Source organism: Homo sapiens, chromosome 13 (assembly GCF_000001405.40).
Source record: "Homo sapiens chromosome 13, GRCh38.p14 Primary Assembly".
Classification (NCBI taxonomy): domain Eukaryota; kingdom Metazoa; phylum Chordata; class Mammalia; order Primates; family Hominidae; genus Homo; species Homo sapiens.
Window position 1 is genome coordinate 111,623,011 of NC_000013.11, and position 21,714 is coordinate 111,644,724.

Genomic DNA, 21,714 nt, shown 5'->3' on the forward strand with positions numbered 1-21,714 from the left:
CTGCACTACAGCTGAGCTCGCAGGGCCTCGGGAGCCACACAAGTTCCTTTTCTTCCCTGCGAAACATTTGTTGCTGTCTTGACTTTTTGGGCATCATTGAGAAAACATGTTGATGTGTATTAACGCCAAGGCCATTTCGATTCATGGAGAAGAAAACGCCACTGGGGTCTAATTAAGCCATTGATTTAAAACAATGCTCAGAAAACGGTTGCAGAGACTCCGTGTTCCCTAAGTTACGATGAGTTTGTTCCTGCCCGCAGAAGCCGCCTCGCCTCCGCAGTGCCACCTCTGCTGCCCCCAGCCACCGGCACAGCTGAGTCAAGGTACAACCGCCCAGCAACGCTTTCCAGCAGGGAACGTTGCCCTGAACAGCTCTGACTGTTGAGCGCACGTTAGAAGGCGCCACGCTAGCGCATTCCCCTGCGGTATTTGAAACGACTCCTGTTACATTTGTTGGAGGAATGAGTCAGCAACCCTGAGAGCCTGTGACTCTCGCACCCTATACTGGCTCTGCCCTGTGGCCAGCTCCAAGGGCAGCAGGGAGATATTTTATATCAGCACGACCCCAAGGCTTGCCTCTGAGCAGCAGCAGCAGGAGCACCGGCCCACCCTAGGCAGAGCCAGGGTCTGTTCTGGCTCTGACACTTTACAGCCATGTGGCCCGGGATCATCTTTCTCATTCCCAGTTTCCCTGTTTTTAGTAGAGGGGTGATAACGTCCACCCCCTTCACGAGCTTCTCCTAAGAAGCCCAGGAAATATGAATGGGAGCGAGGCTGTCACGGGTTGTGTAGTCCGATGGAGGCGGGGGTGATCCTTGACTTGACCCATAGCAGGTGTCCACTGAGTATGTCCTGATCCAATCCGTGCCCTGCACTGCTGCTTCTCCCTACCACCATTTCTCTCCGTGTGCAAGGACAGGAGGCCACTCCAGCTTTCCCCTGTGAGGAATTTTAGTAAACGTTCTCAGGGACACCAGTCCACGGGGTCCGGATCCAAGTGCACTGTTATCCTCAAATCCAGTCCACAGGGTCCAGATCCGAGTGCGCTGTTATCCTCAAATCCAGTCCACGGGGTCCGGATCCGAGTGCGCTGTTATCCCCAAACACTGTTGCAATCCCTTTCCTGGTTGAAGTCAGGTGGACTCTGTTATACTAAGAAGTCTCTGTGTTTGTGCTGCTTTGGAAACGCCTTAGTTCATCCTAGCTTGGCCTCCCTGAGAGCATCGTCTGCACCATCCTCTCTGCAGACCCCTCCTATTTCCCTGCAAAGCCCCTCCTCGGTAAGTTCCCGTCTGCTCTGCGCCCCTGCTCTCCCCACCGGGTCCCTCATTGCTTTGAAGGCTTCAGACCAGCGTTGGTCTGCAGCCTCCTCTCTTAGTGGTGCTCTGGTCCCGTGAGGCTTACGGCACACACGCGTCCGTGAGAGAAATGCCGTTGGCCCAGAAGTTCACTCTGGGGGCTCTAAAATTTGACTCCCAAGAGCTGAGAGATGGCTTGCAAAAGTCTGGTTTCAATAGTGAAGAGTTCAGGAAAACCAACCGCGATGAATAATTGTCATTGCAAAGACAGAACACTGAGACGTGAAGTGAGTAAGAAGGGGTGAGACAGACACTCTCTGAAGTGGAGTTCACCATTGAAACACTTGTGTTAATAATAAATCAAAGCAGTTTTCATGGAATATTCTGTTGTTTTCCTAACAGTATTTACTGCCTGCTCACAGACCCACAGGCAGGGGATACTTTCTGAGTGTGGGAACAAGGTTGCCCCATAGAACCAGGGCCACCGTCTCAGCCCTCAACCTGGATGCAGGAAGGGGCAGGGAGGACGTGGGCCCTGAGGCGCACAGGTCCCAGCTGGGCGGCATCTGTGGCATCTGGTTGTTCTTACCTGGGCCAGTGGCCTCCTTTCTAGTGGTGGCCTACCTGGTGGGGCCTACCTGGCGAGGCTCTGGCGGGTCGAGCTGAGACAGAACATGGTCTATGCCTCCAATGGTGCCTCTCGATCTCCACAGCCCCGCAAACAGCACTCCTTCCCTGTCCCTCGTCATTTCTGGGGGTGGAAACATCTCCAGATCCTAACAAAGCCCATTCCCTTCTGAACAGTTTCCGCTGAAGCTGAGGCAATTGCAGTACTTTTAGATGTAGGATTCTGAAATTCAACATGTAGACAAACTTAGGAGGTCAGGCCGTGGGAACCCTGAAATGTCATGCAATTTTATGCATATGTAAATTTTCTGGGGCAAAAATCCAAAGCTAGTACCTGATTCCTCAAGGAGCTTCTCAGACCCCCAAATGTTCAGAACATGCTTTGGTGGTCCAAGTCCTCTCTGAGATGAATACAGAGCAGGTCCACATGGAAGGTGTTCCATGAGTCCACGTGGCTCCAAACCTGGGATCCCGAGGTCTAGGGCAAAGCACTCTAGAGACAGGAGAGGTGGTGGTCAGAAAGGAGGAGACACCTGGGCTGATCTGTGTTGTTAATTCTGTGTGTCAACTTGGCCAAGCCCCAGTGTCCAGATATTGGATCAGATATCAGTTTGGATGTTGCTGTGAAGGTGTTTTTAGAGGAGATTAACCTCAAATCAGTGGACTTTGGGTAAAGCAGATGGCTTTCTGGAATGTGGGGGGTCTCATCCAATCTGTTAAAGGCCTTAAGAGCAAAAGACTGAGAACTCCCCGAGAAGGAGCTCGGCCTGCAGACAGACGCTGAGCTGCAGCATCGGCTCTTCCCTGGGTCCCCAGCCTGCCCCCTGCCCTGCAGACTGTGGACTTGCCAGCACTCATAGTCACGGTGAGCCAATTCCTTAACATAAACCTTGAGGTAGACAAACAAAGATGTAGCTCTATAGAGAGCAGATACAGGTCTATTGGTTGTGTTTCTTGGGAGAACTCTAATACATGGTCTCGTTTTTCTTATTAATATTTATTTAGCTATTACTAAGCTCTAATTATGTTACACACACTATTTAATTCTCAGAATAGCAGTATGAGGTGGGCCATGGCCCAAGAGGTATCCAGCAGGAAGTGGTGGCGGGGAAGAAATTTGAAACGCCTCCCGTGCCTAGAGCCTCTGGTGGATTCTGGGGAAGGAAGAGGACGGGGTGAGTTTGAGCCTGTGTCTTCTTTCCTTGTGATCGCTAGCGTGTTGGGGAGTGGACCACTTGCCTGAACTTCTGTGCAGTGCTGGTTGTCTTCGTTAGGGTAGAATTTGGCCCTTTGGAAGCATCACTGCATCCACAGCTCCCACACTGGCAGCATGCACTCCCTTCTTAGCCCTTCCCTAGCTCCAGTTCAAGCTTTCTTGTCTACGCAGCCCCTTCCAAAAGTGAAGACGAGCGAGCTTGATCTAACTCGGGGAGCCTCCAGGACCCCATCTCCTGGGTGACTCATGTCTGCCCCCGCTTTGGGAGGCTGCTCAGATTCCCTCCCACCTGGGCCCTGGCAGGAGGGAGTGCTTCCAGGAGAGCCTTGCGACCCCACCGGGCTTTGCTGGACACAGTGCATGGCAGCTCAGGCTTGTGAAAGGCTCAGATTTGACTTGGCATAAGCTCAGCCGTGCAATTATTCCCACCGGGACACTGAGTTCTCTTTCCCGGCCAAAGGACTTGGCAGAGCCCAAACCTCATGGGGAGGTGAGGGCACCTCGCTCTCCTCTTCTCTCAAGCAGATAGCTCCAGCACTCCTCACCCACATTGACCACACACTTGAGCCTGGCACTCCTGTCATCATCCAATTATGCCTGGAACAGCGTGGGGAGGAATGGAGCCACCGCAAAGGCAGGAGGGGAAGAGGGGACTCCCACCCCTGACCTCGCAGCTTTCTGGCGGGCAGCCACCCCTCCCGGACGTGCAGGGCCAGGCTCCCTCCCCGTTATTCTCAGCCATCATCTCAGAAACCCTGGGACAGTGAGAGCAGGGTTGGCAGCTGCAGTTGGCTTCAGGACTGTCCTCAGCTCTGGATTTGGCATTCCTGGGTGGCTTTGCAGGGCTGCGTACTTTATCTTGTCAGAGGAGGGACATGTGTGAGCAACACCATGAGGCTTAGATTTTCAAAGATGAGCAGCTCACACTCAAGTTGTCCCTGAATGCCAAGATCTGTAGGAGATGGCTGTGTGGCCCCTTCAGGAGAGAGGCCAGGAGCATAAAAGCAGGGGACATGGGGTGGAGTGGAGAGATGCCACCCAGGGAACTGGCAGTTGTTGGGAATGTCAAGTCTCTGTGGGCACCAGGCCTGGGGGTGGGTCTTTGCTATGACGCCTTGCTTGATGCCGACAACCACCTTCCGACATGCTTCTCTTTGGTCACCAGAGAAAAAGTGTCATGAAAACTGGAGAGGTGCTAACAGTGGTCCAGCCTTCATCCTTCACCATCTGCCTGCAGCACACGGCAACAGCCCTGTCTCTGACTTCTCCCAAAAACTTTTGCTCCAAATTGGTCTGCTTTGCCGAGTGGGGCATTGGCGCGCCCCGGTTCACAGCTTGGATCACAGGACCCCTTACACCCCCTTGCCTCCCGCCCCAGCCCTATCCCAGGAATGTTCTCTTCATCTTTTGAAACCTACACTTTGAGATGCTTCCAGCCTTCTCTGCCACTTGAGCTGCAAGCAGCTTATCTTCTCCCGTTCCCGTGGCAGGATGCTGTCGCTGTGCTCCTGTCCCAGGACGGTTGACAGTGTCTCTCGGGTCACCACCCCCCCGCCTGTATGATCGCTGAGGTTTATGACTGGATCTTATGTCTTTGCAGTGCTGGGCACTGGCACGGCTGCTCATAGAAAGGTCCCAACAGACACTGCAATGGCGGGCAATAGAGGGATATGCATGGGTGGCCAGCCCCTGTGACGGCAGGACTGAGGCAGGGCCATACCTGCATGGCCAGCCCCTGTGACGGCATGAAGACCCCGGACCCCTGGGCTTCTCCCCTGTGATCAGTAGCTCCCCCGACACACTTTAGGAGTGGCTCCCCTCCACACAGCTGCATACTTTGGGAAAGAGGTTGGGTTTCGCATGAGAAATTCCTGTTTTCAAAAGGAATAGATTGGAAGCTGTGAGTGGACACTGACCACAAGGAATTCCTTCCCTGGAAGTCACTCTCTCAGCAGGTAGCTTGGAACAGAGTGTGCTCTTAGGACAGGACGAGAAGCAGAGGGGCCCAGGTGTGTCTGCAGCGGCCAGAGTTGTTTGTGATTGACCTCACTCTGTGAATGTGGGGTACCCAGTGAGTAAGTCTCAATCCAACCTTCCAGTCCAGAGGGGTCATCCACAAATGTCTTCTGCAGGGAAACTCCACCTTGAAGGATACTGGCGAGCTCAAGCTTAGAATGATTGTCTGACATAGTTTAGGAAGATTCTGTCTCATCCTTTTTTCCATCCCATCAAATTTCTCCTGAAACATTTCTACCATCAGTGGTCTGTATTGGGTAGGGTTCTAACATCACAAATAACAGAAACCAAGTCCGGCTCATTTCAGCAGTTAGGGTTCTGATATTGCGGATAACAGAAGACGAATCCAGCTATTTAAGCAGAAAAGGATTTTTATTTGGACTGAATTAAATGGGAGAATCAAGAAGCGGGTTCTGAAAAAGGCAGCAGTCAGGGCAGCTCTGCAGCGACTCAGAAGGAAAGGTGAACACTCCGTGTGCTGCTGGGGAATGGAGAGGCTCCCACCCCTTCCTCACTGCTGGTGTTTCCATCTTGCATGCCCCGCTCAAAGCTCAAAGCCATGGAAACGGGTGTCTGACTGATGTGGCTTTGAAAAGTGTCCACCCTGACTTGGGGAGAGGCATCCCTTTGGTCACTGGGCCCTGGTTTTTGGGGACTCAGTGAGTCCGGAGCCCATGGTGTGGAAGATGGAGGAGCTTGGAAAACCTGAGGTTCCAGTCTCAGATTGCTGCATTTAGGGAGATGAAAGAGAGGAAGGGAAGATAATGAACTGCCCTCTGACACGTGAGGTTTGGGATGGGTCGTCAGGGTGGAGAAGCCAGTTAGCCATCAGCGGAGAGCACAGAGTGGGTTCAGGGCTGGGAGAGATGTGCGGGAATTGCAGGAGATGGGAGCTGCCGATGAGAAAACGGCTAAGGGCACACAGGAAAGTGGGCAGGGTGGGATAGGACGGCGTGGGGAACTCTGACTCTCAGCGATCGCTCAGATGAGGACAAACAGCTGGCAGTCAAGGCTGGAGGGTGCCCAGGAGGCAGGGGAGGTCGCTGGTGCCGCTGCTGAGCCCGCAGGCCAGCCTCTGCCAGGTACCCTCACCACTCTGGCCTCTCCTTATGCACAGCCTGTTCAGGGACCTTCCTGGACGTGGCCACTGTCAGTCCTTGGGCCTTGGCTGTAGCCTCTGTGGGAAATACTTATAGCAGGTTCCTTTGGTGGAAGCTCATGGAAATTTCTACCATTTTTTAAAAAAGTGAAATCTTAATTTTAGAGAAAAGTAAAGTCCCTCCCTCCCATAATGCTTTGGAATGGCAAGTTTTGAGAAGAGCCAACCCCAACTTTGACAACAAGACGTGCAAACGCTCCTTCCTTGCCCACTGCCCCCTGCTTTGATGGAGCACACGCTTCACATCGACCCACACGCTACCCCCACAACGAAGCCATGCAGCCTGCTCCAAGGACAGGGAGGCCGAGGAGGAAGCACATTGACTGGGGGCACGTGCAAGGTCGTCCTCGTGCAGGCTCCGAGCTCTGGGCTGGGACAGATGAGACCTGTCCATGCCGAGGCCTCCTTGGCACGTGGGCTCCACTGTCTCTGCTCCTTTCTTTTTCTGTGCTCCGTGGAAAGAAGATCATTGTGGCCCCACACCTCCCGGTGCCCCTGTACTTCCTCCTGGGCCACTCAGCAGAATTCTCGGGCCCTGTCCATGGCATTTGGGTGGGGGCCTTGCCAGTCCTCCATGAGCCCAGAAGCTCCTGGTGCCTTCAGCCATCTTGGCATTGTCAGGGGAGATTTTTTTTTAATTAAAAGTCTGCCTTGGAGTATGTCAAGCACTCCTGTATTTTTGCCATTCTTCTTATCTCTATGGCAACGAAAATATCTCAACATTTACATGGACATCGTATTCTTTGCTAATGTACTATCTGAACCGTGTGTGTGCGGGGGACGCGAGCAGCAGCCGCCTGCTTCTGCCGGCTGGAGTTGCTTAAGTTGCCACGACAACCAAGGGCCCAACGATGTCCTCACAAGCAGCACTAAATGGAAGCTCTAAATTAATTCACCCGCCTGTGTTTTTGTAGCTTATGTTGTTAATTGAAATAATAGGGATGGCCTTGCCTATACGTTCAGAGCACCTGTCCTATGAAACGGCCTGCGGTGTTGACTTAAGCACACTCAGCCATCAGGCTGACCTCGCGTGAAATGGGGAAAGTGCAGAGACACTTATGTTGTGCCGCTCCGTGTTGACTTGCAGTTATGGGGAAGCAACTTCCCTTCTGACAGGCTGGAAACACTGGCAATGTAATGTTTTATTTTAAAACTTCACTTATGTCTGCCTTCTTCATCACGGCTCTGAATCAGAGCACCTCCACAGCTCTGTCAAATGCTCTTGCTTGGTTAACGAGGGCAGCAGCCTTCGGTGACCTTCCTGCATTTACCCAAACATCACGGAGGTGGCGCTGAGCGCGTGGGCCTGTGGGCCGCCTGGCTCTCCTTGCCCTCTGAAGCACGGGATCAGGACATGCTCCAGCACCTACCTCGTAAGGGTATCGTGTGCCATCACCCCTGCCTTGCCAGTTTCTCTGCTTCCCAGGGCTCCCCTACAGGAACAAATTATGAACTTGGAATCCTAGTTGATTTTCCCACCAAGATGAAAATCCTAGGAGTTAAGGACATGAAACTAGAGCTTTCTCATCCATCTAAATAAAGAAACGGAAGCCCAGGTTTTTTGTGACACTCTGCTTCTGATGAAGGTCCTATTTGGGCCCATGGGTTAGATTACAAGGTTAAACACTTACACTTGGGAGGTTGGAGGGAGGAATGCAAGCATATATTTGCATGGTCCCATTTTAAAACCATCACCAGCTGTGGAAATTGGGTTAGCCTGGCCAGTGTCACCTGGAAGTGAGTTGGCAAGCACTGAGTCAAGCATGAGAGCTGGTCTCCAGCCACCTTCAGTGACATTCCCTTTTTCTTTAATTCTAGACATTCAGGAATGAGTCTAGAAAAAATGAAGCCATTTTTTGCCCATTAATGCCTTGGCAGATATTTATTTGCCAAACTGGGAAGTCAGTCGCAGGCTGTGAGGCAAGAGCCCGGGGCAGGCCCACACCCCAAGGGACAGGAGGATGCAGAGACCTCAGGTGTGGGCTGGTCTAGCCTGGGACAGCTGCAGAGACCTGGGACATGGGCTGGTCTAGCCTGGGACAGCTGCAGAGACCTGGGGCATGGGCTGGTCTAGCCTGGGACAGCTGCAGAGACCTGGGGCATGGGCTGGTCTAGCCTGGGACAGCTGCAGAGACCTGGGACATGGGCTGGTCTAGCCTGGGACAGCTGCAGAGACCTCGGGCATGGGCTGGTCTAGCCTGGGACAGCTGCAGAGACCTCGGGCATGGGCTGGTCTAGCCTGGGACAGCTGCAGAGACCCGGGGCATGGGCTGGTCTAGCCTGGGACAGCTGCAGAGACCCGGGGCATGGGCTGGTCTAGCCTGGAACAGCTGCAGAGACCCGGGGCATGGGCTGGTCTAGCCTGGAACAGCTGCAGAGACCCGGGGCATGGGCTGGTCTAGCCTGGGACAGCTGCAGAGACCTGGGGCATGGGCTGTCTAGCCTGGGACAGCATAAGCATGGGGCCCCTGCAGGCCCAATGAAGTCTCAGGCTTCAAAAGAGGAGGTAAAGGGAAAAAAGGCAGGAAGGACAAGAACTTATCAGGAGGCAAACTTCAAATGTTTCCCCTCTCTATTGTCATATGGGGTCAACTTTCACATGTGGTGTAATTTCTTTTTTCTTTAGTCCTTTTATACAGTATGATCAAGAGTTGTGAATTTAATTTCTGTTATCCAGTGTCTATCGCTATAGAAAAAAACAACAATAAGCAAACAAGCAAATACGCAGAACTCTTTACTTTATTTGGAGTAAAATTCTCATTTTCCTGGCTTTATTGAAAACACTGCTTCTAGAATGTAAAATGTGTACCACAAGAGTCAGATCCTGGGTAAGTTTATCAATAGTGGTTGTTATTGATGAAAAGAGCCAAACTCTGAAATGTTTAAGGAGATTTATTCTGAGCCAAATATGTATGACCATGGCCATGACCCAGCCCTCAGGGGATCCTGAGAACATATGTCCCAGGTGGTTGGGGTGCGGCTTGGTTTTATGTATTTTAGGGAGACATAAGACTTCAACCAAACACATTTACGAAAAATCAAATACATTGATTTCGTCCAGAAAGGCGGGATAACTCCAAGCGGGGGCTTCCAGCTTATAGGTAAATTTCAACGTTTTCTCATTGACAATTGACTGGGTTTATTTAAAGACCTGGCATCAAGAGAAAGGAATGTCTGGGTGAAGATAAAGGACGGTGGAGACCCAAGTTCTTATTTGCAAAGGAGGCCTTCAGGTAGCAGACTTCAGAGGGAATCGGTTGTATAATGTTTCTTATCAGACCGAAAGTCTGCGTTGATGTTAATGGCAGAGAGGTAGAGTGAGGCATGTCTAACCCTCACTGCCCGTCATGGCCTGAACCAGTCTCTCGGGTTAAATTTTTAAAGAGCCCTTGTTGAGGAGGAAGTCCATTCTGATGGTTGGGGGGCCTTCATATTTCATTTTTGGTTTCCAGTGTTAATGGTAATAATAACATGAGAGGCTGAAGGGGGAATAGAGAGGATACAGGCTTTGGGGGCCAAAAGGCCAGACTTCCAAGTTCTCAACTTCCAGAGCTTTCTGCAGAGCTTTGATGCCCTGGGCTTCGAGTTCCTAACTCCAAGTCAGAGGGAAGCCACTCCCTCCTGGGCTGTAGGGAGGAACCGGATCTGAAGGGCACTGAGGAAAGAGCACCTCCTCCCTCTATGCAGAAAACAGGATTCCTCACTCGCAGCAAGCACCTAGCGAAGCTGAGCAAACCTGCCCTCCTGTCTCGGCTGCTCTGGCCCTGGAGGGCGGCTCAGCCCCACCTCAGGAGCAGCCCCGGCTGCTCCCAGAGTGGCTCCAGGCCTCCTGGGCACTGGTAATCACTCTAATGGTTTTCTGACTGCTGATTTTAAAGGCGTTACCAGGAAGGCTTTTACAAGGATGACTTTTACTTTATAGCTGCAACACAATATGCACTGTACTGTCTTTTCATGCCTTCAGCTAAACACATCGCTGACCCAAGTAGGAGCCCAGTGCACCCACAGCTGCCGAGCCTCAGGAACAGAGCTTGGCTTACTGCGGGGAGGGGCAATTCTAGTTCTGTGGAGGGTATGACTTTTTGTAGTTGGGTCTAGCTTTTTGTTATTGCTCGTAGAAAGCCAAATTATACTTTGTTTGAGGAGATAAGATTTCCACCCCAACTTAAAATGTTTTTTCCTTTTAAAAGAAATCATAAGTCATTGTGGCCATACATGCTTGATTTCAATTAAGTGACAATTTTAGGCAGATTTGCTGCCAGAAATAATTGGGCAGTAAAAGAAAAACAACAGGTATCGTGTATAACTGTTGCTCATACTCATAGTTATCATTGACACGTAAAGGTGGCATTCCCCAATTGTCCTCCAAAAATACTTAAAAAGTTTTCCAATGTTTGAGTATCTGCACTTGGCTAGTTTTAAAGTAAGCGTATATCACTAAGCATACATTTGAATATCCACACCAAATACTTCCCTTTTACACAGATTTGTGCAGTTTAAATAAGAAAAAGGCTGGTGGAGATTGGGTGATACTCTGGAATCCAGAGGATTTTTACTGTTTGAGAAAATACAATCATCAGACCCTTGGCTGAATGATATCAAATCAGGAACTGGGTTGTGAATTGAAAATTAATTTGGGAGCATTTCTAAGTAAATAATCGGGAACTTGGAGAAATTAGAGCAGATGCATCCCACAGAAGTACAGACCTCAGCTCTTCACTGATCAGTGAGTCCAGCCGCAGTTACTGTGGCTTCTTCCGGCCCAGCGTCCGGCACATAATCACCGGGATCTGTGCGTTCATGGGTGCGAGGGCCCTCCAGCCGAATTTCTGGTGATAAGTGATGAATCATGAGAAACAGCAACGGAAGTTTAGGCTTCAAATCAGTCTTATTTCATTTTTCTTCTTGAATTTACTAGTTCATTATTGCCTTATAGTGATTTTTCCCATACCTTTGTATATTTAATTTCCTTTTTAATAGACAAACTGTCATGGGAGGTTACACAAAGCATTATTGTTCAAAGGAATGTTTATATCACTCAGATAAATATCATAGTGCATTATGGATTGGGAGTGTATTTATTTCATATACAACAGAAAAATGACTGTGTATTATCAAGTAAATACATGCTATATTTAAATAATGTGATAGCAATCACCAATCGCCGAGTTTTTCCTTGGTGTTCTGAAATTAGAATATACAGAAAGGCAAATTAATATTTAAACTCTCTGTATAGTTTTGAGGATCCATAATATGCATAACAAAGAGAGATGACTTTGGGCCATGCGGGGTACGATGGTATCGTGAATGGATTGACTACAGGGGGCCTGCAGAAGTCACACGCACTCAGGGGCCTGAAGAACTGGGGTAATACCTTGAGCACTAAGATAATTCCATTATTATTGAAAGCGTTTATTGCCTGTGGTTCCTCTGTGGGCACCGTATAAAGTACTTGAAACAAAACAATTTGTGATCTTTATGTGCTTTGAAACCCAGGCTACAGATAGAACAAACAGGCTGAGGTGAACTGTGTAATTGTTAGGCACACATAAAACATGTGTGTTATTTTATGCAAGTCAAGGGTGGTCACTGAAAAGGGAGGTAAGACACAGGAGTGAAAAGTTTCTACGAGGCGACGTCTCTCAGTGTGGGAGGTGTGCGGCACTGACTTGGGGATCGGTCAGAGCTGCTTTCAGACAAATGGCCCGTCCAGGACAAACCTCCCGCATCTCTAGCTGTTTAACTCATTTCATTTGGTTTTCTAACCTCTGTTTAATCCAGCACAATTTCCTATCTACCCCTGGATGAGTTAAAAGTAAAACACTCAAGTTCAAATCTGCCCTAAAATCCTCGGAAGGATGATGAATTTAGTCAAAGATGCCCCGCTATGAGAAATTCAGCCATGAGACATTCACCGCGACGCCTTTCAGCTACTGAAAGAACCTACAGATTTGTCCTTCTCTTTTCCATTCCTTAGCGAATTAAAAAGAAAAAACAAAAACAAAAAACAAATGAAGAAGCAACTGGTACGAGCAGATTTGGTGCAAGAGAACCAATCGCAGGAGCCGCCCAAGCTCACTTAGGAAAAGAGCTGAGCGACAGCAGCTGCACCCAGAAGGTGGAGACCGCATGCGAACCCAGGATCCCAGGCAGCACAAGGCTAGAGACCCTGCAAGCAGCCATGGCTGTGCGTTCATGCAGAGCGTCATCACAGCCAACACGGTCTTCCTCCTGGTTAACCAAGATCCCGTTTCAGCCATTCTGGAATTGCAGGGCTGGCCAGAACTTTAGGAACAATACATGCAATGCCTTCATTTTGTGAGTAACTGGTGTCCTGAAGAGGTGACACCCCTTGCTCAGGACGACTGTAAGAGAGGTCATGGCCGAATGGGGACCCCTCTAATTTGAGATTTGTGTAGACAAATAAACCTTCTCCATAAGAAACCATTCACATAAATAAGCCACTCTGCCTGATCAGCACCCTAATCCCTTCAAAATGTCCTAGCATAGCATATTTTCTTTCTCTGTTTTGAGAAGAATTTTGAATACATGTGATATGTAACATATAAAATATACTGTGATATAAAGTATATGATAAGTAAAGATATTATACATATTTTTAATAGGCACCTGGGAGATTCCGGAAACTGTGTCAGTTTCTCTAAGTCAGTATCTTATAAAATCCTCAGAAAAACCCTCCCAGGCAAATAATATTCATATTTTTAAAAATGGGGGAAGTGAGATGCACAGAGGTTAAATTTTTTACCCCACTGAGTGAATGAGCAGTGGCAGGCGTGGGGCCCACACTCTTGTCTGCCAGAGTCTGTTTGGGCAGCAGAGTGTCACAGCATGTCCATCTTCCCTAACCTGCTTCATTCTCTAAACATCGATTTAAACTCAGACACCCCATTGAGAGTCCAGCACAGCCAGGTCCCAGAGGAGCGGCTTCTTCCCAGCACAGCCAGGTCCCAAAGGAGCAGCTTCTTCCTGAGTCCTGCATAGACAGGTCCCTGAGGAGCAGCTTCTTTCTGAGTCCTGCATGTCACTTGTCTTGCGATTCCTGCGTTGGAGGCCATGTCATTGATGCGACTCCACTCCCAGCCCTGAGCCTTGCAAAAACCTTATTTAATGCCTTGGAGCTGAGTGGATGGCGACACCAGCTACATGACAACCAAGGACCAGGCATCCAGGATCCGAGTGTGTGCTGTAATCAAAGAAAACTTAATCCACCACATATTAGTGACATGCACAACAGTCATTCTGCACATGGTCATTAGCCATCAACGGTAAGCAGCTCTGGTAAACGGCGGTAACTGGTATGCTACTACAAAGCCGAATGCCTTGCCCCCACTTTCTGTCTTTATTTTATTGATCCCAATGAATGGCATCGACGTCAACAGTTCCCTTAACTTTTCCACAATGGAGTCCTCATCTCAATGCCCCTCCCCTCATCCGCCCCATCCCTGCTTCTTTCTCTCTTCATCTCTCTTTGCATTGTGCACACACACGTGCACCCTCACACACATGCACACATACACGTATGTGCACACATACATACGTGCACACACACGCACAGACAGCTGAAGATTCCCGTGATGGCCCATTTGCTCAGTGTTGCCCCACACAGCATCTGCCAACACTGTGCTTTAGTGGACGGCGGTATTTATGGCGCCTTACACAGTATTGTCAGATGCAGGACTGACCTTGTTCTGGAGGACAACTGAGGCAACCTCTGCTGTCTCCCCTGGCTGCCACCGCCATGCCATGGCATCAACACCCCAGGAAGGAAAGCTCCTGCTGCCTGCAGTCCAGAGGATGCTTGGGATTCCTGGTGGTAAACATGCTGAGCTTCCCCGCTCATCCTCCCACTAACGGCCAACAGTCTGGGCTTTCCTTTTCTTTGTTCTGTCTCCCAGGTCTATGACCTTGCCTTTGAGAATGCAAAGTGACCATAAATAGTAGGGCTCCTGAAAGATTAAAGAAGGCAAACTTCTGAATATTTTGTAATTACAGATAGATAAATAGATAGATAGATAAATAGATAGATAGATAGATAGATAGATAGATGACAGATAGAGAGGCAGAGAGATGCATGTATGTGATATGCCTCCTACCTTAACCATCTCATAAAAACACCCGTGGTAGCGCTACGATGCTCAGTGATGTTCTGCTGTATTTCCGTGTTGGGCCGTTCTCTGCAAGGGAAGGCCTTGTTGATTCTGACCTGCTTCTGCATCAGAGCTTCTCGGTCTGTTCACAGGAAGAGGTCACAGGAGTCTACCATGCGTCTTGGGTTCAGGGATGGGTGCACACTCACACACGCAGACACACGTTTCCACCTTTGAAAACGCGGAAGGAATAAAGGATACTGTTGTGCTTTGAGAACTCAGATATCTCAGGGGAAGGAGGCTAATGCGTGAGAGTTCCATTCAGTGAATGGACCAAGTCATGAGAAATCACTCTTCAGGGGTGAGCTGAGAAATCTCTTCGTGCTGTAAATGCTTCCTGGCTCTAGGGAACCTTGAAATTGTTCCCTACTTGGGTGAGGATGGCGACACTGGATAGGAAGTCATTGATACTGACATGCAACTTCTCAGGAGGAGGGGGTTTGGGTGGGGAGGGGGAAGTCATTGATACTGACATGCAACTTCTCAGGAGGGCGGGTTTTGGGTGGGGAGGGGGAAGTCATTGATACTGATGTGCAACTTCTCAGGAGGGAGGGTTTTGGGTGGGGAGGGGGAAATCATTGATACTGATGTGCAACTTCTCAGGAGGGCAGGTTTTGGGTGGGGAGGGGAAGTCATTGATACTGACGTGCAACTTCTCAGGAGGGTGGGTTTTGGGTGGGTAGGGGGCTACATGGTGATTAGCCACCATGGGGAAAGCAAGCCTGTGGTGTACTACCAAAGGTGAGTTTGGATACCTGTCGGATGGACATTGATATAAAGGGCTAATAGCAAAGCCATTGGCATTTCTGTTAGACTCTCATTGACTTGCATTTAATATACTCTGCTGCCAGTGGGAGCTGAAGGGCCAATTTGCTTTGGTGCTTTTTTGTGCATTAGTGTCCATTATAAGGTAATGGGTGTCTATCAGTGTCAGAATGTCAGCCACCAATTAATTCAGCTCACCACTTCTTCCCAGCAATTGCTTATCACTGGACCATCCCAAGCCACATGGTACTAAATACCTTTTTGACCACTGCAAATAGCATTTATGGCCAACAGGAGGGAAAGTGACATTTAATGTCTCATAATTAAACTGGCAGGCAATATTGATTATGACAGAGGTTTTTTTTAGGAGAGGACTTTTTATAGAAGGATTTATATTTCATGTTATATATATGTTATGATTTATGTTAAGTATTGTATATTAAGTATTAATAAGTATGGGTTATATATTAAAAATTATATATTAAGTGTTAGATGTAGACTATATTTGATAAGCTATTTCATAAATATAAATAACATTTATTTATTTATTTAATTTATTTATTTGAGACAGAGTCTCACTCTGTCACCCAGGCTGGGGTGCAGTGGCATGATCTTGGCTCACTGCAGCCTCTGCCTCCCAGGTTCAAGTGATTCTCCTGCCTCAGCCTCCTCAGTAGCTGGGACTACTGGCAAGCGCCACCACGCCTGGCTAATTTTTGTATTTTCAGTAGAGACATGGTTTCACTATGTTGGCCAGGCTGGTCTCGAACTCCTGACCTCAGGTGATCCACCCATCTCAGCCTCCCAAAGTGCTGGGATTACAGGCATGAGCCAGCATACCCGGCCTCCAATTTTTAGTTTTTTGAAGAGTTTTATATCTGATTAGAAGAGATAATATATGTGGAGTGATCGATTATGTTTAGAAGAAAACCTGATAGAGATGCAGTCAGCATCAAGAAGCCACAGCCACCCAGGAAAGCCCTGAGCTCAAAACAATGGAATTCCAAAGCCTGGACAGTTCAACAAAGACTGAGCCACGGGGGTGGCATGAACTACAGGGCCCCTCCTGCCCACGATGCAAGAGGAAGAAACCCCTCCTGCATGTGGTAGTTTGGGCGGGGGGGCCACTGACCTAGCTTCCGGCCTCGAGGGAGGGCTTGGGAAGCAGGGACATGGAAAGAGTGCAATGCGCAGAGGGGATGTTTAGTGACAGAGGTGACAGTCACAGGTGATGTCCCGGCCCTCAGAGCCCAGGCCTGTGGCATCCCACCAACCTGCACCTCCCACACGCCTGAATTGTAGCTAGCATTGCTCGGCTCAGCAGGTGATCAGTGCAGAAGCCTTAGGCCAAGGACTTGGGGGGGCCGTAGGCTCTTTATCAATCCATAAAGATATGTGAGATTTTTTCAGAATTGAGGATGAGAAAACTACAAAACTGTAATTCATACTTTTTTTTAATTTAAAATTTATTTTTTTCTGAGACAGGGTCTTGCTCTGTTGCCCAGGCTGGAGTGCAGTGGTGCATTCACGCTCACAGCCTTGAACCCCTAAGCTTAAGTGATCCTCCCGCCTCAGTCCCCCAAGTAGCTGGGACCACCAGCACGTGCCCACCACACTGGCTAATTCATTTTTTATTTTTCCATAGAGATGGAGTCTTGTTATGTTGCCCAGGGTGGTCTCGAACTCCTGGGCTCAAGTGATCCTCCTGACTCAACCACCCAAAGTGCTGGGATTTCAGGCATGAACTACTGTGCCTGGCCCCTAAACTTTCTAATTAAATGTTTTTAAAACAATATCAGGTCAAGTTTGCGAAGGTTACACTGAGTTTCCATCGCAATTGCACCGCCTTTGGAAATGGCTTATAAGTCAGCTTTCCTTACTCATCAAGCACCCCTGAGTGTGCAGAGAGAGTGCCAAGGCAGCCTCGCCAGCTGCAAGTCACGTGAGTTCGCGGCTGCCAAATGGCAGTGCAGAGGAGCACGCAGCAGCGCCTGGGAGGCGCTCGGCTCCCTCCAAGTCCCTATTACGTTAATTTACTTCCTGGTCATAATCACCCATGGGATGAGTGCTATTGCTATTTCCATCCTATAGACGAGGCAGAGAGATTTTAAGTAACTTTTTTCCAGATCCTACAGCTTGGAAAGGCGGAGCTGGGCTTTCCACACGGCACTTCAGCACCGTCCCATGCTGTCTCTCAAAAGAACAATTATAAAGTCCTTCCAAAGCTTTAAAGTAAAAATCAGTTTAAATGTGAGGTATGTGGGCACTTGTTTGTTTCAAATGATGTGCAGCAGTGCCTTTCAGTGCAGTCAAGGGTGCTTGGAGTTCTCAGCACCTCCGGAGACCTTGACGGTGATCAGGAATGGAAACCGCATGGATCAATCAAAGTGGCTCCCAGGGTTGCACTAGAGGCTTTGCTGCAGAGCCCAGCCTGGAAAATGACGGCCACATTCCCCGTGGCCTTGAGCCCAGCGTGTTCACCAGCCATGACGGCCCTTTGCCTTTTGTCTGTCTACCCCCACCAGACCCAGCTGGACGAGAGGGACGGATGAGGGTACTACCTGCTCAGGGCTGCCTTCTTTAGCCCTTCTCAGAATGAGAGTCAGTCTTGTCTGAATGTGCAATCTTTGAATGAAATCAGATTGTTCCTATTTGTCATTTTATTAGCAACTCATTACAGCCATTTCTTTGGGATTAAAAAGAGAAGAAAGAAGGAACATAAGTAAAAAGAGTGAGCTAATGGCTCACCCAGAATGCTGTGGCAATTTATGGTGTCTTGAATGAAATGACAGAATTGCCATAATGTTAAATTTAACATGTTTTATTTTAGCAATATGATCATCTGATCATATCTCCAAGCTCAGCCAGCATTACAAAAGTAATTTTTATAATTGTAAATTCATTCACTCTAAGATGCTTCAGAATTACTTTAGAGATCACATTACCAAATTTTCAGCTTAAAAGTGACTTTATCCTGTCATGTGTATCACTTCAGTGATGGGAGCAGAATGGGAATGTCTTCTGCACATAGAAATGGAGTGAACGCCTCGTGGACTTCAGGCTTTCAGAGCACGAATTGTCGCAGGTGCTTTCTCCTCTTAACAGTGTTTGCCAATATTTGTTTCTCCCCTCCTGTCTTGGGTACCAAGGCTCTCCTCAATGCCTCTGTCCTTCTCCCTTTTGACATTGCCACCAGGACTTAAGAAGGTCAGGGAGGTTGCCCGCAATGTGCCTGCTGTAAGTAAGAGTGTCCCGGCTGTGAGGACCACCATGTCGCATAGATGGGGCCTGCTGGAGGTGCTGCTGGCAGATTTGTGGGCCTAATTCTGGCTTTGGGGAAGGGCAAAGCCCTGTTCTCATGAGTAGAGGGGTCGCACAGAATCCTCAGCGCGTATCCTGCTAATTGCTGTAGCCCCTCCTAGTAACTCTTAATAAACACGACTGGTCATGCACAGAATGCAAAACCCTTTTCTCTCTGTTGGCAGTTTCTCAGGCTGAGAAAAAAACATCAGTGTGGGGGAAGATTTGGGACCCCTGTCTGCATCTACCTGGACTCTCATTAAACAGATGATGTGATGAAGCAATCAGAAAGCCTGGCCAGCTGCTCACCTCCAGGGCAGCTTCTTGGGAAGACAGTGAACAATTCTGGGGGTTAAGAACTGTTTTTAAAAGAAAACACTAGGGAGGCTGGGGCAGGAGGATCGTTTGAGGCCCAGGAGTTGGACGCTGCAGCTAGCTATGATTGTACCACTGCACTCCAGACTGGGTGACAGAGCAAGACCTTGTCTCTAAAAAATAAATAAATTAACCTTTAAAAACCAAGCGCAAGGTTAGCCTTCCACTGAACCCCACCGCTGTCCAGCATCTCGTGTCTTGGTGCCCGCTCTGAGGCAGGGTTGGATGTGGTTTGCAGCAGGCCTTCCAGGGCTGGTTTTCATCCTGACTTCATGGCTGATGCTGGCTGACCCAGGAGCCTGGCTCCCTCCCTCTAGGCCATGTGGCACTGTGACCCGCTCCCTGGGGCCATGGCAACTGAGGGGAGAAGTGAATGCTTTGCTTTGGGCTTTACTCTGTAAATTCTGCTCATAGGGAACGCTCTGGATCGTTGCCCAGATTTCTCCCGTCTTCTCTGGGCCAGCCCTTTCCTCAGGTGGAGCTGGGAAAAGAGGCCAAGGACGCAGCTCTGGGAGACGACCTTCCAGGGCAGCCTTGGAACACCATGTCCCCAGCATCTCTGCTGGCAGGACCGCCATGCATGAGTGGGAAATCGCTCACAACCTGCTCCCATCCAAGAATGACCATTAATGTCTATTTTGGCCACTTCTCAAGTAATTGTCAAAGCCCAGCTGGGAGATGCCCGCACACAGAGCCCTGGGCCCAGGCCACAGGGGCACACCGTTCCTACCTTCCTTTGAATCAATTGTTTCATTTAAACTCAAAGCAAAATATTTAAACAGACCAAGTAATATTTCTTTTTCTAATCCAGGTGTGCACACGTGCGTGAGCCCTGTGTTTTCCCTTTCTGCCTCCACTTTTACAGATCTGTGAAGTGGGGCATTCGGCACGGTGGTGGTGAGACACATGGGGTCTGGGGGCCAGGCTCCTACATCCTCACTGTGCTGACTGCATAGACCAGGGGCAGCCTGGGAAGAAGAGGCACCAGGCGGCAGAACAGGCCAGATTGTGTCCAGGAATTGAAAAAGCATGTGTATTTTTCTCATCCCTTATGTTTAGAGAAAAAATATTTATTGCTACTTCTTTCTTAAAGCTTCATTTTTAGTTAGCTTCTTATGAGTTCCACATATGGAAACGTTTCCATATTTTCACAAATCTAAGTTAATGATACCTTTACAACCAGCCCCCCAATGCCCAAGTGGCCTCCAGAAGATGACGAATAACATAAATGAAATAAAATCATCAGCTGAAGAAAACGTCTAATGTATTTGTTTCTAAAAATTCTTGTGGTTGACTCTATTTTATTTAATTTTTGGATGGGGAGAGAGTTGTCTTGTTTGTTGCAAATTTATCTTTAGGTCTGAGAGAACAAAACACCCGGTTTTCTCCCTCGTCTGATATTAGCATTATAGACACGGTACTACTCATAGGAACGTTTTTTACTCAGAGAGCGGCCATCTCTTTACATCTCTACTGTAGAATAAGAACTTCTAGCGCTTGCAATAGGTTCCTAAGCTGTTAGATGAGCCCCGTTTGATAGGAAGAGGAAGCGAGGTGCTGAGGTGAAAGAGTTGGTTCCAGGCCCCACGGCTCTCAGGAGGATGAGCTGGGACTTGAGACCCCTTGGGCTCTGAAGCTTGTGGGGTACCCCCCAGTAAGTTCCTCAACTTCCAACACCGTGGTTGTCTCCATCCTGGAATGCCAAGTGTCCAGTGGGTGATTTCCAAGGAGCTCACCCTCTCTGAGTGCTAAGTCCTGTGCAGGCAGAGACAATCTGCATAAAAACACCTCAGAGCCAGAAAGACCTGCAATAAGTGGCTGACGGAAATTCACATTTTAAACTCAACAGGGAGAAACAATAAAATGATCCCTTTTTATTTGTTAATATGATTTTATTATTTCCAAATGTTTGATTATAACTACATTCAAAAGGAAACATTGATGCCATATTAAAGAATATTAAAATATATGAGAATAAAAACTACAGTGCCAAATAAACCTTGTTTAATTCTCCTGAATGGAACTCAGGCCAAGGAACCCCGGAAAGGGGAGGAGGCAGGTGTCTTCAGTTTGCTTCTTTTTAATGAAATATAACTAAAAAATATTAGCTTCTTTCAAATTTATGAAAGAAACTGAATTCAATTTCAATTGAATTGCCTGATAGAGCAGTCGTTATTCCTTAGCAATATCTAGTGTCAACAGACTACAAGAAAACAAGGACCCTTCTTGTTAAGCAGGCATTTCCCCATGCATATGGCATGCATGTGACATTTCTGCACGCGCTGGAAAGTTGAGGTTGAGGACTCATTTACGTTGCTCTCTCTGGGTGTCCAACCGTGACTGATATAAATATTTTATTAGGCAAACCTGCAGGTTTCTGAAGATTATATGTCTTATCAAGTTGACCCTTATAATTATGTTGTCTTCTGCAGCCATAGGATTGCTTTTAATTTTGCAGTTCTTTGGTAAATATTGAACCATAAGAAAGGTATACTATTGTAAGCACAGACGACTGAGGATAAAAACCATGTAAACAGAATTCCTCGACGTGGGAGGAAAGATGCACTTCCGTTCCGTCACTCCAGAGAACTGATCACACGGAGATGAATCGGGGGAGAGGATGAACTGGGCTCACACTTTCTGACCCTCACTTTGTAGCCAGCCTGCTGCCAGGGCCTTGGACTACCCTCTCCCTTTGTATGTTGCAATGAAACTTTGGTAGTGAAATCCTGGACTGCCTGAGGAGGGGCTGGGCTATGGGGGGTGGGTGCTTATCCATTTGCGTCCCCC

At 48.5% G+C, this 21,714-nt stretch overlaps 1 protein-coding gene and 1 long non-coding RNA gene across 2 annotated transcripts in view, besides 5 other annotated features; both read left to right on the top strand.

The window, feature by feature from the left end:
- The window catches only part of LINC02337 (long intergenic non-protein coding RNA 2337), a 46,071-nt gene extending 27,002 nt beyond the window's left edge, over positions 1–19,069 (top strand). The window contains exon 2 of the long non-coding RNA NR_135814.1: positions 18,735–19,069. This is a non-coding gene — a long non-coding RNA (long intergenic non-protein coding RNA 2337). The remainder of the gene's footprint in view (positions 1–18,734) is intronic.
- On the top strand, positions 239–14,442 carry LOC107983958 (uncharacterized). The gene is made up of 4 exons (XM_017020886.1): positions 239–323; positions 847–1,280; positions 12,294–12,634; positions 13,218–14,442. Exons 1-4 carry the CDS (start codon positions 239–241, stop codon positions 13,591–13,593), a joined length of 1,236 nt encoding a protein of 411 aa, XP_016876375.1. The 3' UTR covers positions 13,594–14,442.
- Positions 5,709–6,527: an enhancer, noted in NCBI's record as "H3K4me1 hESC enhancer chr13:112281066-112281884 (GRCh37/hg19 assembly coordinates)". NCBI's record gives its function as "activates a minimal SCP1, AML or CMV promoter by ChIP-STARR-seq in primed H9 embryonic stem cells {active_cell/tissue: H9 hESC(primed)}" and the evidence as "EXISTENCE:reporter gene assay evidence [ECO:0000049][PMID:30033119]".
- Positions 10,122–10,621: an enhancer, noted in NCBI's record as "H3K4me1 hESC enhancer chr13:112285479-112285978 (GRCh37/hg19 assembly coordinates)". NCBI's record gives its function as "activates a minimal SCP1, AML or CMV promoter by ChIP-STARR-seq in naive H9 embryonic stem cells {active_cell/tissue: H9 hESC(naive)}" and the evidence as "EXISTENCE:reporter gene assay evidence [ECO:0000049][PMID:30033119]".
- Positions 11,322–11,888: an enhancer, noted in NCBI's record as "OCT4-NANOG hESC enhancer chr13:112286679-112287245 (GRCh37/hg19 assembly coordinates)". NCBI's record gives its function as "activates a minimal SCP1, AML or CMV promoter by ChIP-STARR-seq in naive H9 embryonic stem cells {active_cell/tissue: H9 hESC(naive)}" and the evidence as "EXISTENCE:reporter gene assay evidence [ECO:0000049][PMID:30033119]".
- Positions 13,511–14,011: an enhancer, noted in NCBI's record as "H3K4me1 hESC enhancer chr13:112288868-112289368 (GRCh37/hg19 assembly coordinates)". NCBI's record gives its function as "activates a minimal SCP1, AML or CMV promoter by ChIP-STARR-seq in naive H9 embryonic stem cells {active_cell/tissue: H9 hESC(naive)}" and the evidence as "EXISTENCE:reporter gene assay evidence [ECO:0000049][PMID:30033119]".
- Positions 15,896–16,815: an enhancer, noted in NCBI's record as "H3K4me1 hESC enhancer chr13:112291253-112292172 (GRCh37/hg19 assembly coordinates)". NCBI's record gives its function as "activates a minimal SCP1, AML or CMV promoter by ChIP-STARR-seq in primed H9 embryonic stem cells {active_cell/tissue: H9 hESC(primed)}" and the evidence as "EXISTENCE:reporter gene assay evidence [ECO:0000049][PMID:30033119]".
- Positions 19,070–21,714: the final 2,645 nt, after the last annotated feature.